The sequence below is a fragment of the Homo sapiens genome, chromosome 15 (genome assembly GCF_000001405.40).
Source record: "Homo sapiens chromosome 15, GRCh38.p14 Primary Assembly".
Classification (NCBI taxonomy): Eukaryota; Metazoa; Chordata; class Mammalia; order Primates; family Hominidae; genus Homo; species Homo sapiens.
This window is the reverse complement of record NC_000015.10, coordinates 80,831,950-80,848,540: the sequence shown is the minus strand read 5'-3', so window position 1 is coordinate 80,848,540 and position 16,591 is coordinate 80,831,950. Positions and strand designations below refer to the sequence as shown.

At 49.0% G+C, this 16,591-nt stretch overlaps 1 protein-coding gene and 1 non-coding gene across 10 annotated transcripts in view; one reads left to right on the top strand and one right to left on the bottom strand.

Moving 5' to 3' along the window:
- Positions 1 to 16,591, bottom strand: part of CEMIP (cell migration inducing hyaluronidase 1) — a 172,402-nt gene that overhangs the window by 103,231 nt on the left and 52,580 nt on the right. The window lies entirely within an intron of this gene.
- On the top strand, positions 6,468 to 6,563 carry MIR549A (microRNA 549a). Its single transcript, NR_030393.1, has one exon. It is a non-coding gene; the product is annotated as a microRNA 549a (primary transcript).

Sequence of the window (16,591 nt, the reverse complement as noted above, 5' to 3'; positions counted from 1 at the left end):
CTAGAAATGCCAGCCACTGCATGAGTTCAAGAAGAAAAGGCCCCACAGGCTTGGGACTTGGCCTGCTGAAGCTCTGTCCTTCCCCACAGCTTTTCCTGAGCCACAGGTCTATAAATGTATTACAAGGTGTTGAGTAGATTGTCTGAGGCCAACCCGAGGTGTCAGAGCATGGAACAGGAACAGTTGAGGGGCGGCTGTCCAGAACTAAATCTCTCATCAGTCCGTTTCCCAGAACTGTGGAGCGTGAGTGGCTTCCCTATAGGAAAAAGGCTGGTGGAGGCCAGGTGACGAGGCCAGATAGGAGGAGTCCATGCGGCTTGTGGAGGCCAGAATAAGAATACGCTACCTCAGCCCTTCCAGACCTCAGTCTCCTGCAGGGGTCTCTCTCAGATGTTTTTCCAGGCTTTCTGATAAATTACCCAATTTCTATTTCATCTGGGTCATCTCCTTCTTAAAGTTCTGAAGATCATTATTTCCATTCAACCTGCCACATTTTGCTACAGAACTGTGTCCCACTCTTGAGGATAAAGTCCTCTTTGTCCCTGCAGAAGGCATTTGAGGAGGAGATGCACATGCTGGAGAGCTGTGCATCGTGACTTCACCGTCTCTGGAAATCATGGAAGGAATCTCAGGAAGAGTCGAGCATCTCCACGGCTCACTGTTTCACCTTCTGCTCCTGGCTCCTCCTGGGTGGGCAGGGACACTGATTTCCATCTGCTACCTGGCCAGCAAGCATCCTGCCACCCACAGCGCCCTTCTGCACTTTGACATTCTGAAGAAACCCACGGTTTTGCCAGAATGAAAGAAGATGGTCCCAGCATCAGCCTTCTGAGCCCATGGAGTGAGGATCTATTTTCTCAGTAGCCTTGCTGGCCACCACCCTTGGTGACTAGGACCATCACACAGGCACAAATTGCAGCTGTTTGTCAAAGGCATCTTGCTAGAGCAGATGAAATACCTGAAATATTGGATTCTGGGGGTCCTACTCCCAGGTGGTATAGCAGTGAAGGGACTGGATCTTTACTTTCTTCACAACATGGTCCTGAGTCGCTGCTAGAGCTGTGGTGAGCCCAGACTGCACCCCAACCCGGAAGCTTTCTGTTGGCTCACATTTGGTTTATTGATGTAATGTATTGATGCTTCCCATAAAGCCCTAAGTTCACTCCTCACTTGTTTCCAAAAGCTACATAAGGGCTGGGTGCAGCAGCTCATGCCTGCAGTTTCAACACTTTGGGAGGCCAAGGTGAGCTGATCACTTAAGGTCAGGAGTTCAAAACCAGCCTGGCCAACATGGCGAAACCCCATCTCTACTAAAAATGCAAAAATTAGCCAGGCATGATGGTGCATGCCTGTAATCCTAACTGCTTGGGAGGCTAAGGTGGGAGGATGGCTTGAGCTGGGGAGGTCAAGGCTTTCCTATAGAGAAGCCAAGATTGTGCCACTGCACTCCAGCCTGCGTGGCACAGCGAGACCCTGTCCTGCCCACCCCACCTCCAAAATAATCAAAAGCTACATAAGAACCACCTGGAGAACTTCTAAAATACACAATTTCCTAAGTCCTTTCCTGGAGATCTTCATTCTGAACATTCTGGGATGGAACCCTGGACTTGATCTTTTAAAAACGTGCTCAGGGCTTCCAGTGCACAGCCAGGAAATGGAAACCACTGAGTAAAGCCCCCAAGTCTTGTCACCACAACAAGTGATTATTAGGCTCTAGTATCAACAGCTGAGTTGCTGAGCCAGGAATTAGGACTTCACATTTATGCTTAGAAAGCGTCCTTTTCATTTCAGCCACCTTTGATCTTTCAGATCTTGAGCTGATCACTCAAATCCTGCCCCACCTAGTGGCATCGGGACCACCGGCAGGCAGGCCTTTCTCCCTTCCACATGGGTCTGAGAAAAGAGATGACACTGTCTCTAAGCTGCTGTTACTCATCAAGTTCACTCCTCACTAGTTTCCTGGGCAGTATCAGTACCACCCCGGTGAGAAGATGAGCTTGCACACATCCTGTTTGAACATCAGTTCCCTTGACCCAGACGGCCAAGCACATGAATAGCTGCTCCAGAGGCCTCTGACCTACAACGATGATTAGTGCAGGCTAAGCACTACTGACAGGTGATCCACCCAGCAGGTGAAGCACAGGAAAGGTTTTCCTGGGGGAGGAAAAGCCTGTCTCGGGCTATCTGGAGACCTGCAAGACAAGCATTACTGACCCAGAGAGAGACGGGGGAAGAGCGCTCTGGTTGGTTGAGTGACTATAAGTGAATGAGTCAATGCATGTCCCACACGGGCCTATGTGGGTGAGTTTATGGGGATGGGGGAAACGTCCACCTCCATAATAGAAACCATCTGGGCCTGACACTGCCAAAGGGTTAGATAGAAAGTATTCCATGACTGTGCTTCCCAAGTGTCTCCCCTTCCCTCTGCCACCTGGCCTGGCCCAAAGCAAAATGGTCTGTATGGAGATTTACACTGAGGTGGGTGGGTAAAGGAAGCACCTGTTCCCTCAGCCTGGAAGTGATGTTGAGGGTGGGAGTGTATGTAGCAGAGGGCATGCGTGCCCAGAACAGGGACAGGCTGAAGTGTCTGAGGTGGGTGTGTCAGGAGGAGTCTCCTAGATCTAGAGGATGGAGGGAGGAGGGCAGGTGCTGGAATGTCTGCTGACTTCACTAGTTGCCTTGTGTGTCTTTTCGTGACACTCCAGGGTCTAAGCCATTTTCTCTGATCCCATCCAGCTCCGCCTAATGACTCGATCTAGCTCACTGACAGGATTTTCCACCTCAGTTATGGCCTGCCCACTCCATCCCAGGTCACAGCCAAAGTCACTGTGGGAAGGTTAAAGGCTGGAATGCCTGCTGTCCCAGATCCCACCACACCAAAATCAGTTCATAGAACTGTCTGTTTTCCCTGGATGAAGACCAAGGAGAAGGAGACCAGAGAAGAAGACCAGAAAACCAGAACAAAGAGGAAGGTGATGATCAGCATTTCCCATATTTTCTCAAATAGGCTCCACTGACAGGTTTTTTAGTGCCATGTTCATATACTACCTGTATCATCCACACTGTATGTAGCACCATATTTGCTCAATATATTTCTGGGTACTTTTTTTGAAATAGGGTCTCACTTTGTTGCCCAGGCTAGAATGCAGTGGTGTGATCACTGCTCACTGCAGCCTTGACCTCCCAGGCTCAAGAGATCCTCCCGCCTCAGCCTCCCAAGTAGCTAGAACCAAAGGCATGCACCACCACGCCTGGCTAAATTTTAAATTTTTTGTGAAGACAGGGTCTAGCTATGTTGCCCAGGATGATCTCAAACTCTTGGGCTCAAGCAATCCTCCTGCCTTGGCTCCCAAAGTGCCATCACACCCGGCCTCAATATATTTTTGAAATGTATTCCTCCTCAGACATTAGATTCATCCCCCAATAAATAATTGTCAAATTACTGGTTATGCAGAACAATTTAGCTTTATCTATATATGTATATGGATAATATTTATGGATATATATTATCCATATATATCCATAAAATCGTTTTACAAATCATTCATACTTAGGAACATCTGGATGAGCTGATTTGAAGGTCCTTCTAACACTTAAAGAATAAATGAGAAGTGGACATGGTGAGTGCTCGGTTCTGGGGCTCTGAGTCCTGCCCATGGGCACCCTGGGGCTGGGGCCATGCCCTGTTCTCCCAACCCAAGGCTGGGCCACCTGGCTTCTCTCCTGCTCCTGCTCCATGCCCCAATCTTCGCTGTGTTTCTACACAGCCTCAGGATGTTTTCAGCACCTCTGATATCTGGGCATGGCTGCCTCATTCCATGCTATCTTCTGTCACTTTGGGGATGGTAGGCCCTGAAATCGGATGGGGACACAGGAAGTAGGAAGCAGCCCAATTCTGCAACAGTGGAGCTGCTGGTCAGGTCCAACTGGCTGACAAGAGCCCCAGCTGAAATGAATAGACATTCCTCTCTGAGCTGCCACAGCTCTGTGAGTCATCTGGGGGGTGGTTTTCAGGAACACAGTCCTACCATGGAGGCAATGGCCACCCAAAAACCCCAGAGAAAGAGGAGCAGGGCAAAGCAGTCACCTGGCTAAATTTGGAAGAGGAGCCTGCAGCTGTTTCCACCCCCTCCTGCCCCCTCATCCTGGCATTAGTCTTTTTTTAAAAAATGGCCTTTGCTTGTCGCCTGAGCATTGCCAGCTATTTTCCCCAGGACACATTAAAGCAGGGCACAGGCTGGCTGGGGGGCGCAGGCAGAGAGGCCCCGAGGCAGCTGCAGCTCATCCCAGGCAGGGGGAGGGCGCGACAGGGGTGGGGGCACACAAGCAGGAGCTCCACGCCCACTGACCAGCTGCTCCGGACACTGGGTGTGAGTGCCAGGGAGGTTGGCCCGGGGCTGTGTGGACCCGCCTGAGCGATGGCTGGGTGGCAGCCTTAGTGCTCTGCCTTCCAGGGAAGTGGGGGTGCAAAGCTGGCTTCCCCAAAGCAGCCCCCATGGAGAGTGAAGGATCTGGGGCTGAGTTGAAGCAACACAAACGTGGGCTGCATTCTCAACTGGCTCTGTCACTAATTTGCCAGGAAGCCTCGGGCAATGACTGGCTGCTCCCTGCCTCAGTTTCTTCTTCTGTAAAACAAGGAGGGGTCTCATACTTTCCAAAGTGCCATGCCACCAGGATCCTAGCTATTCTCTGGAGTGAGGGGCAGACCTGTCTTTTGACACCTGGGTGGGCTGCTGGGGGCTGGGTGACAGAGCACCCAGAGGAAGAGCCCCTTCATGATCTCCTCAACACATGGTCTCCACCATGAGCTGATAGAGATGGAGGGATATGTCCAGCTCCATATAGAAACCGTCTGAGACTGACGCCACAAAAGGGTTAGAAGGAACTATTCTATGACTGTCCTTCTCAAGCATCTGCCCTTCCTTCTGCCACCTGGCCTGGCACAAAGCAAAATGGTTAGCATGGGGATATAGACTGATGTGGGTGGGTGAAGGAAGCACCTGTCCCTCACCCTGGAAGTGAGATTTCAGAGTGGGAGTGGGTGTAGCAGCCCCCCTGCCCCTCCAGCCAGAACTGTCATCCATATCCTCAGCTGTCTCTGAGCAGAGGCAGTGTGCGCAGTAGAACAGGAGCTGCGTGAAGGCAGGTCTTCTTGACTGATATATTCAAAGCATCTAAACGGTGCCAGCTTCATAGTAGGTCTTCAATAAATGTTAATTGAATAAATACATGAAATGGGCAAGAAGATGGGCTCTGGAGTCAGACTAGCTCTACTCACTTGAACCAGTGACCACTGGACTGGTGAGTTACCTAATATTTCTTACCCTTAAAATAGTCACCTGAAAAGTAAGGATCATGATGGTGCCTTCCCTCATAAGGCCATCGTGGAGATTAAATAAGATACAACACCTAAGACAGTCTGGCATGTAGTGAGTTCACTGTTATCATTTATGGGATGGTTCTACCTGGTTGTCCCACCAGCATTTTAAAGGTCACCTTGTATGGTCCAGCTCATCACCTCTCACTAGCAAGATGTTCTCTGCTGCTTCTGCTTTCAGTTGGTGACAATGTCATCCACTCAATCATCTAAACAGAAATGAGGAGTTCCTCTTGGCTCTTCCCATCCACTGACCCCTGGGACCTCCTGGAAGGTCCCTCTACAGGTCTCATGAATCCATCTCTTCCTCATTCCTGCTGCCACGACCCTTATTCTCTCTCAAACCTCAAGCCTCTCTCTAAGATCTCCCAGATGTCTTCTGCACTCCAGGCCCCTCCACATCCTGGATTTCTCTCTCTCTCTTTTTTTTTGAGATGGAGTCTCGCTCTTGTTGCCCAGGCTGGAGTGCAATGGCACAATCACGGCTCACTGCAACCTCTGCCTCCCAGGTTCAAGCGATTCTCCTGCCTCAGCCTCCCCAGTAGCTGGAATTACAGATGCCTGCCACCACGCCCAGCTAATTTTTGTATTTTTAGTAGAGATGGGGTTTCACCATGTTGGCCAGGCTGGTCTCAAACTCCTGATTTCTGGTGATCCACCCGCCTCAGCCTCCCAAAGTTCTGGGAGTACAGGTGTGAGTCACCGCACCCAACCCCGGATTTCTCTTTATCCTCAACCTTGCTGCAATCATCTGTCTGCCTCCCTCCCTTGAGAACAAAGAACGAGTCTTTGTGCTTAGTAAACATTTGTTGACTAATGAATTAGCAAACACAGAAGACCAGAGTAAAGGTCCTGGTGGGGGAGAAAGGCCAAGTAGGAGGAGAAGAAAAATGAAAGGCAGTGAGAAGTGAGAAGCTACTTTGTGCGTAATTCATTACCTTTTAATCCACCACTCTGTTTAAAAGAGAATAGGTAAAAGATGAAAAGGAAATACATATATAATACACGTACAAATGGTACCCAACGTGTTTCTATTCCAAGAGTGTGTTTCTAAGTTGACTGTTGAGAACCTGGCATCACATCTTCTGATAGACATGCAACTCAAGAATATATTGAGAGCTCATCCATAGTTGTCACTGTCTCAAATCAGTGACAACTATGGATGAGCTCTTAATATATCCCAGGCACTGTGCTAGGCATTTTCCATGCATCTTTGTATGTAATCCCCGCCAGGAATTAGTATCACCATTTACAGATGAGGAACAGAGTTGCAGGAAATTTGTGCAGCTGTCTCAAGGTCTTTTGGCCAGTTAGGGAAGGCGTTGAATCTAGGTCTGTGTGATCCCAAATCTCATGCTTTCCCCATATGCAATGTTGCTATTAATTCCCAGCAATACGGCCAACTGCTCTGATTGGTCGGCCCTGGCCTCCCAGCCTTGTCATTGGCCAACACCCCCTGGAGGGAGGGCTCCGGCAGCTACCAAGGACCTGTAAGAGGGAAAGCCATGGACAGAGAAGAGAAGGAAGGAAAAAGAAAGAGCCTCCTGATAAACATACCAGGTGGACTGAACCAGCAGGAGATCAGGTTAAGGGCAAGTGGAAGTGCCTGAGAGAGAAACAAGGTCCAAATTCTAGAAGTCATATCCCTTGCCCGCTTCCCCCATGTCTGTACCAACAGAGTGGACGGGAACCAAGAAGTGGAGCAGTGCCTGCCCTTTAGGAGGAGCAGGGAAAGGATGATCCCATGCCCTTCTTGCCTGTGGACTCCAGGGTCTCTCCTAGAGCATTTTCTCCACCCCCAACCCATCACTGTCATGGGGGCCCTTTGTTTAGGTGGCCCTGGGTGTCTGAAGGCAGAGAGTAGAGGTCACTAACTGGCTGCCTAGGGACCGAGTCTGGCCTGCAGATGTGTATAGGTCGTCCTGCATAGTGTTTTTAAACATTTTTTAAATTGGGGAAGTTTCATACAAACATCTGGATTTCCAGCTTTGCTGGAAAATCTGAAGATCTGGCAACCCAGGTCCAAATTCCCACATGGCAGCCATCAGCTGGCAAAGCCACAGGTGCCCCGTTCAGCTGGGGCACAGCCTACCCCTCAGAGGACAAGATGAGAGGGGAGGGGACGCTCAAGCTGTCCCTGGCCGTGGCTCCAGGTTCCAGGATAGCAGCCTGGAGGTTTCCAAAAGCTGTGTCCTCCTCCCCTTGTGGCCAGTGAGGACAGAGAACTGCTTTGTCAGCTAATGAAGGTGAGGCATGGTGGCTGCATGGTGGGAAGCCCGACAGCCTCCAAGCCTGCCTATTTCTTGACCACAAGGCTCAGTCCACTCCAGAAAGCCTGCTGGTGTTCCTAATGTAACATAAAACACCGCTGGCTTCCTGTCCTGGACCCCCTAGGACTCCCTCTCAGGCGGCAGTGGTCCCTGCACCCCAGGCTGGTGTGTCCAGGGCAACTGGGCAAACACTCGGGCGCTGCAGGGCCCAGGGCCGGCCTCCCACGCCTCGGGCCAGGGACACCCAGCAGTCCAGCAGTGTGGCCCCTGCAGTTTCCCCCTGCACGGGCCTGTTTACTTCTTCAGGGAATGCTGTAGGAGCCAGGCCCACTGAGCCGGAGAGGCCATTTCAGAACCACCAGGCAGATTTTTCATTCCAACTTCAAGGAGCTTCCAGAAAACCCAAACAAACATTTAAAAACGGCTGCCTCGCCACAGTTCTGGAGGCAGCGCCAAGGAGAAAGGCATTACCCGTGGGCCAGCCGGGGTCCCTGCCAGGAAGGAGGGTCCTGACAGGCTGGGCTGACTTGCAAGACCTGCTGCTCCAGCCAACTGGGTGTGGAGTCCCCATGAATGACTCGTCCCCACCCTCCATGCCCCGTGAGTGGAACGCGAGTGGATGGGTCATCTCTGCTCCTACTCTGTGTGGAATTCCCTCTCCTCTATCACACTTCCACATCACACTTGCCCTTCAAGACTCCTGGAGAACACTGATCCCCCGGGGTCTTCTGGGGCCACCCTCCGAGCCCCTAGGAAGCACCTTGGGACTTAGACACCCCCCTTTCCACTTTCTGCCTTCTACCAGAATTGGGTGCTTATGACTTTCTCTTCCCTGCTGGCCTGGGGGGCCCCTTAGAGGAGGAGATTCAAAAAGACTCAGCAGCTTCAAGTCCCACCCCACCTTTCCCAGCTGGGTGGCCTTGGACTTGTCACTTCTTCATTTTTACAGTTCTGTGTCCTCAGCTATAAAATGCGGTGGATAGTGCCAACCTGCTAGGGTTGTTGTGAGGGCAAGGGAAGAAAATGTGTGTGGCGTGTCTAGCACTTTGCCTGGGACATAATCGAGACTGAAGGAATATTGGACAAATAAAAAGCCAGAAGGAATGACCACCTGGGAGGGTGAATTGCCCCACACATCCAGCCCTGTGCCTGTGCCCCATGCAGCCCACAGCCCACAGTCCAAGGGAGGTGGGCAGATGAAGAGGATGGAACTTTCTAATGTCCCTCTCAGCCTGCAGGGGCTCTCCTGAAGCATTTGCAGCACAGCCCCTGTTAGCCACAAAGGCAAGCACAGTGTTGCCTTTTCCCACTGCACAGGGCCCCGTTGCTGAAGGCCCACCCTTCTGCTGTGAGGAAGGCCAGGAGGTCTGGCCGGCTTCGCTGCTGCTGCTGCGGGTGCTGGCCCTCCTGCAGGGCCCGGTTTGCAGGGAGCCCAGGACTTTGCACTTGACTCCCTCAGAAGCTGGTGTCCACACTTCTCCCTCCCCCACTTGGGACAAGCTGCCCTTGTTTGTCTCTTTCATTCATTCTTAAGTCTGGCCTCTGTTGAAGCCACAAATTAAACACACACACACACACACACACACACACACACACACACACACTCACGGCCTTGACTCCACAGCCTTCACTCCTGACTGGACCTCCTCTGAACAGAGGCTTCCTGTGCTATGGAATGCGATTCCTGCTGGCTGAGGAGAAGTGGCTTTCAGGCCGCTGGGCAGGGGCGCCTCTTACTTCACTGAGTGTGGCTGCCACCACTTCAGCAGCTTCTCCTCCTCTCCTGCTACCCCGAACACCTCAACCCCAGCCTGAGTCCCGCTGCCTCTATTTCCTGTTACCTCAGAGGGCTCAGCTGCCAACCAAGACGCCTGCGGGTGGCCTCAGCTCCTGAGTGCTGGACACCCTGTGACTTAAACCCCCTAATACCTCAGCACCAAACATGCACGGAGCGCTTTGGCTGTCCAGGGAAAGCAGGGCAGAAGCCGGGGAGCACAGATTTTGGAGCCACACAGGGTCAAATACTCAGTCTGCCCCGTCCTAGCTGAGTCACTGAAAGCAAGTTGCCCAACCTGTCTGAACCTCAGTGTGCTCGTCTGCAAAATGGGAATGCCTTCCTTATACTTCTGAAGAGAGAACATGGAAGTACTCTATGAATTTTAAAGAGCTGTGTCAATAGTGGTTGCCACTGAGTATAGGGCATTGGGATAGGTCTTGGGAATACAAAGACAAATCACACGGGGGGTTTTATCATCAAGGACCTCCTGACTAGTGAGGTGGATGAGGCGCGTAGAACAACATAGAGGAAAGAGAACTTCTTAAAGGGGCCTGATGACATATCTGGGAACTTCAATCCAACCATCATATTTGGGCAGCAATGGGTGGTGGCATTGCACTCAGCCTTGAACCAAGGGAATGATGCAGGACCCAGGCCTGCTGAGCCAGAGAGGCCATTTCAGAACCACTAGGCAGATTTTTCATTCCAACTTCAAAGAGCTTCCAGAAAACCCAAACAAACATTTGAAAACGGCTGCCTCGCCACAGTTCTGGAGGCAGCGCCAAGGAGAAAGGCATCACCCACGGGCCAGCAGGGTCCCTGCCAGGAAGGAGGGTCCTGACAGGCTGGGCTCACCTGCAAGACCCGTTGCTCCAGCCAGCTGGGTGTGGAGTCCCTATGAATGACTCGTCCCCACCCTCCGCTCCCTGCGAGTGGAACGCATGTGGATGGGTCATCTCCGCTCCTACTCTGCCTGGAATTCCCTCTCCTCTATCACACTTCCACATCGCAGGTCAGGGTCTGGACAAGCAGAGAGTCTGGGGCAGGGAACAGCAGCATAGAGACCTGGGGGGGCTGTTGCATACAGCACACCTGGGACAGCCAGAGGGGCAGAGTGGGAAATGCATTGGTAGGAGTCCATGGGAGAAAGGGTGTTCTCACCTAAGATGGGTAAACAAGGAAGTTGGTGTGGCCAGTGGAGGGCACAGAGGAAAGCAATGAGAGACCCCAGTCTGTGCAGGGGTGGTATTTGGGATGCAAGGTGAAACCTCCAGGTGGGGAGGGATTACTTTAGCAACTGCCCATGTCTATACCATGAGCTCAGCGGGGCAACTTTGCCCCCAACAGCTGGCATCTTGAATGAAAAGAAATGACACTAATAATGTCCCCAAATAAATGCAAAGATGCTTGGTTCAGATGCTCTAGAATATCTGTTTACTTCCTCTTGAAGGAAGGCAGATGGGGAAGAAGGAAAATATCATCAGATAGTATTTGGAACAAGACTTCCAGCCAACCAGTGGCAACTTCTTGGAGGCAGTCTGGTGAAGTGGCTGGAACTCTGGCATTAGAATCTGAGTTTTGACTGTATGTTTCTGGGCAACCCTTGGTTTCCTAAGCTCCAGTGACCTCTCAAGGGTGTTGTGAGGACAGACATGAGCTGGTGCCTGTGTTCTGTACCAGGTTGCCATAAAGAATGGTGTTCTTTGCGTCTTGTCATTTTGAACTCCTCTTCCAAAGGAGCCTGGGAAACCCTCTGCTTACCTGATTCTAGACTCCACCACCCATCATTTACACCCCTCCCATCTCTCTCGTTCATTCCATTTGCATATCCATCTGTCTGTCTATCAAGCATGGAATCTGGTATGACATCACTCTCCCCCATCTGTGCGTCTCGGAGTGCTTATGAAGCAAATCATTCTGAGCAACCACAGATAACTGAGGAGGGCCTGGTAGTGCCCTGGAGTTTTAGCAACCTCATCTTCTCCTTGGCCTCAGGGCCTGTGCTGGGGGCCAGACACATCCCTTAGACCACAGTCAGCAGATGATTGCAGATAGAATAGGGATGTTGGATGTGGGTCTGTTCCCAGTGAAGGGGAGAGTGGTTCTGGGGCCAGCTCTGGTAGTTGGGAGCTAGGGACTGGGGAGAAATTAGAAATAACGTTTCCAAAATAGAACTCAAGGCAGCCAGGGGCTCAGGACATCTTCTAGGACTCCACTGCTTAGCCCTTACAATCCTATCACATTATTCTGCCTTGCTGCAAAATATCACTTATAACTTCCTACTGCTCTGGTCCTGGTAACTGCAGGGTCTTCATTTGCTGAATGCCCTGTTGGATAAAAAAATTAAAATCTGGGCGTGGAAGCTGACACCAGACCAAATTTCTCTGCATAATAAGCAGGAGGCCTTTGGATGTGATGGAGGTAGAGGGTAAGGCTGGCAGAAAACCCAGGAGGTAAGGAGGCAGAAAACCCAGGAGGTAAGGAGGCAGAAAATCCAGGAGGAAAAGGAAAAACAAAAGAACTCATAGGATTGGACGCTATGGCAAAAGGAACTATGGAAAACAGAAACGTTTGAGGAAGGTTTTCAAGCTGTTTTTTACGGAATGTGTGTCTCCAAGCCGTCCTTCCCTGTGAGACCTTCAGCAAAATGTCTGCCATGTTCATGAATGCATTTGGTACAAGTGGACGAAAACCAGAGACAACCCGCAGGGATGCCAGACACTGGCGAAACAATTTGTTTGAAATCACTGCCTTAATTTCTCACAGAGGAAGGCATTTTTCTGCCCTTCGGAACACTGTCCTCCTCAGCCCATTAATAGCACCAGTCCTGAAAAAGATGCCTTTTCGCTCTTAGAGAAGCAGAACTGAAGGTCAAGCCAAGCTCAGCACACTTAACTCTTCAGTTTGGGCAACAGAAGGCTTTACCAGAATTTTAAGGCCAGGAAAATGCACTAACAGTGGATAGGGTGGAGAAATTTTCCAAGCACTTTTTGGTTTAAAAAGAAAAATAGAGAAAAACTGAATACAAAAAAAAAAAAAAAAATCACTTCCGTCTCATCTCTAAATATACCAAGTATGAGCCACTTTTTTTTTATGAGCAAACCAAGTTACACATGACCTATTTTGATGTTTCCCAACCAACCAAAAAACTTAACATTTAAAAAAAAAACACTTAAAAATAAACATGTAGATATTTCCATTTTCACCAAAATTTTATTATGTTTTATTTTGAAAAGAAAAATCCATGGTTCAAGTTGGGGCAAAGCTGTAATCTGTCCAGACTGTCTGTGGCAACAGTGAGGCAGAGAGAAACAGACCGTGGGAGAAGGGAGACTGTGGATGATCATAGCACCAGCCTGCAAGGTCCCTAAGAAAGAGGAAACCCCTAAGAAATCCCAGGTGCCCACCAACCCTGGACACACAGGTGAACATACACAATGTCCTCAAGGACATTTCCAATCTGTAATGAACAAAATAATATCTGTTTCCAGACTTTGTGGGCACCCCGTGGATGCAGACTACGGAAAGACAGGCTGGTAGATTCCACATGTTTGAGACAAACTGCTTCCTTCTTTGAGCCAGAAAAGCAGAGATTGGCTGCCCCTGCAGGCTGAAGGGTGGCCATGCGGGGCCCCTGCCTATCACCCAGACCCGGGACCTGACAAATATCCCAGGTGGGCAGATACTGATTGAGCTCCTACCCTGTCTTGGGCCTGGTTAGGCATTGGTGGCCCATGGGTATTCCCTTGTTTCTGCCTAGAAATTCCTACTTTGGAACTCAGCGATGGTACTACATTCTCCATGAAGCCCTTCCTGACATTCCAGGCAGAGAGGACAGTAGGAGCAAAAGCATGGTGAATTGGGGGAACTTGGAGTAGCTTCATAGGGCCAAAAGAAAAGATATATAAGATAGGAAGAAGGAGGGCAGGAGGCGGGCTGGAGCTAGCTTGCTAAACCCACTGAATGCCAAGCTAAGAAATTTGGCTGCATGCTCTCTTGCTCTCTGTCTCTTTCTCTCTCTCTCTCTCTCTCTCTGCAATGAGGACTCAGAATAGTTTTTAGTCCAAGAAACATAATCTCCTAAAAATGCAAACAATCCCTATTTTGAAAAATAACAACACTTGAGTAATATAAGAAGCTGCCACATGCTCTTTTTTTTAAAGCAAAAAAATATTTTTTTGAGAAAGAGACAAATTTTCAAAGGCCTAAATAATGGATAGATCCTATCTTCATGAATTGGAAGACTCAATATTGTAAATATTTGGTTTTTTTTCCAAACTGATAGGGAGAATCCCAAACAAAACGCCACTATGTTTCCCTTAATGGAAACTGACAAGGTGATTCTAGAAGTTGTGTGAAACTGCTAAGGGCCAAGAACAGTAAAGACAATCTCAAAGAACAAAGTGGGAGGCCTTAATCTCCTGGATTTCAAGACATATGCTAAAGCTAAGTCTTTAAGACAGCGTAGTATTGTTACAAGGATACATAAATGGACCAATGAAACAGAATAAAAGACAGCCACACGGATTATAGACATTTGATTTATGACAGCTGTGGCTCCCCAGGGCAATAAGGAAAGAGTAATGTTTTCAATAAAAGTTGCTGAGTCAATTGAATAGCCATATTTTAAAAATGAAGCCTGACTCTACTTTTGGCCATGCAAAAAGTCAATCCCAATGTAGATGGTAGCTCTGAGTGTGAAAGACAAAAATAAAGTTTCCAGAAGAAAAGGTAGGACAGGCAAAGATGTGTAAAACAGAAATAAAAAAGGACTAACAATTTTAAAAAAGATTGGTAACTGGACTACACTAAGAACTTCTGTTCATCAAAAACACCTTTAAGAGCCTGAAAAGGCATGCTGCAGAGTGGGAGGAGATATTTGCAAAATATTTAACTGACAAAGGGTTCCTATCCAGAATACATAGAGAAATCAGTGGCTTTCAACTGGGGGTGATTTTACCCTTTTTCCAACCCCCTCAGGACATATTGCCATGTCTGGAGACATTTTGGGAGACAACTGGGAGGTGGGGGTGCTATTGGCACCTAGTGGATGAAGGCCAAGGGTGCCACTAAACACCCTACAATGCACAGAATAGCCCGCCAAAACAAAAAGTCATCCAGCCCCAATTATCAATAATGCTGAAGAAGGCTGAGCACAGTGACTCACGTCTGTAATCCCAGCACTTTGGGAGGCTGAGGCAGGCAGATCACTTGAGGACACGAGTTCAAGACCAGCCTGGCCAACATGGCAAAACCCCATCTCTACTAAAAATACAAAAAATTAGCTGGGTGTGGTGATGCAAGCCTGTAATCCCAGCTACTAAGGAGGCTGAGGCAGGAGAATCACTTGAGCCTGGGAGGCAGAGATTGCAGTGAACAGAGATCATGCCACTGCACTCCAGCCTGGGTGACAGAGTGAGACTCTGTCCAAAAAAAAAAAAAAGAAAAAAAAAAGACAGTACTGCTGCTCCTACTACAAATGATGATGATGAGGAGGGTAGAGCCATCTTGACTGCCTCTGCCCATGCCCCCCACACAGCCCTCCAAACTGCATCTCTGATACCCAAAGGAAGGATGGGTAATGAGTTGCTTGGTTCTCAGAAAAATCACCTGTTTGGATATAACCTGATTCCTTTGGAGGAAAAAAATTTACTTCTGAGTAAATTCTGAGTTCTTACGTTTCAAAAATGAGAATTCCTTGTAAATTGAAGGAGCTGAAAAGTGAGTCTGAACCCTCAGATATGGAAAGCCTAGAGTGGCAGACCCAAGCTGAAATGCCTACAGGGGTTGGGTGCAATATCTCGGTGGGTGGAGGGGACCCAGCAAACTGGAGGGCCCATGCCCTGTCTACAGGGGCAGCCACTGCTCAGGCCACATCTTGCTGGGTCCCCGAATTTCCCAAGAGAAGTGAGAGATTGGCATGTTGGTTTTAAAACGTGTCTGCATTCTTTGATAGTCCTTCCATAAAAAAGTGGGGTCTAATTCCCCTGTCTGTGCATATGGACTAACTTTAATGACTGACTTCTAATCACCAGAATGGAGCAGAAGTGTAACTTCCAAGAGTCGTTTAGAAAAATGATGTGCCTTCCACTGGGGTCTCTCTCTCTCTCTGTGGACTTTCACCATTGGAACACAGCCAACATGCTGTGAGAAAGCCACACGGAAAGGCCACTGTAGCCCCTGGGGAGGTTTCGGTTGAGAGCCAGCATCAGCTGCCAGGCATGTGAGTGAGTGAGCCTCAGATGCTTCCAGCCCCAGCCTCTCAACTGATGCAGAACAGAGACAAGTTGGCTCTGTCCACATCACAGATTTGAGAAACAGATAAATGTCACTGTTCTTTAAAATCACTGAGTTTTGAGAAAGTTAAGCCTTAAGAGATACCTGGAATATCTGGATTTTAATGTGAATTTTCCAGATTTTTAAAAGACTGCATGGGCTGAACAAAACAACTGCAGGCCACATCTGACTCATGAGCTGCCACTTTGATACCCTGGGTTAATGGACATATTAACTGCCTCCAGCTTCCAAAGTGGCAAATCCTGACATGTATGAGTGTCTCAGTGAGACCCCCAAAACTCATTCCGATCTAATTCAAATGCACAACATGCACTCATTTGAAACATCAAAATGAGAGCCGGGAGTGAATCCTGCTGATTTGCAAATCTACAGTTTTGACCAACTTTTGGACCAAACAGGTCACAAGCAAGTCCCACCAATTGGAACTAGCAATGCCCTAGAGTCTGTCTGTTTCTCTTACACACACACACACACACACACACACACACACACACACAGAGTTTATTTTAAACCAAAGCTCCAGAAACCTGAAGTCCTGTCTGTATAGTAACACATAGGCAACATAGATCAAAGAGTGAATTACTTTTAGCCATGGCTGTAGCAATATAAATTCACACCCACTGAAATGTTGCTAAATATGGAAAGTGCAAAATTTTCAAACCAGATTTTGCAAAACAAAAGCAGGCCAGCCGACTTGGAAGGGTGCTTCCTGCATGGTGTATGCCAGGCATCCTAGAAGCTTCTACAAACACATTCTTGTCTTTTATGACCAGAACAGGTGATACTTAAAACAGTATCCATTTGAATGACAAAAGATGGGAAATGTTTGCAACAGGTTCTTTCTATCTCGGTCTCTTCCTCACTGTCACT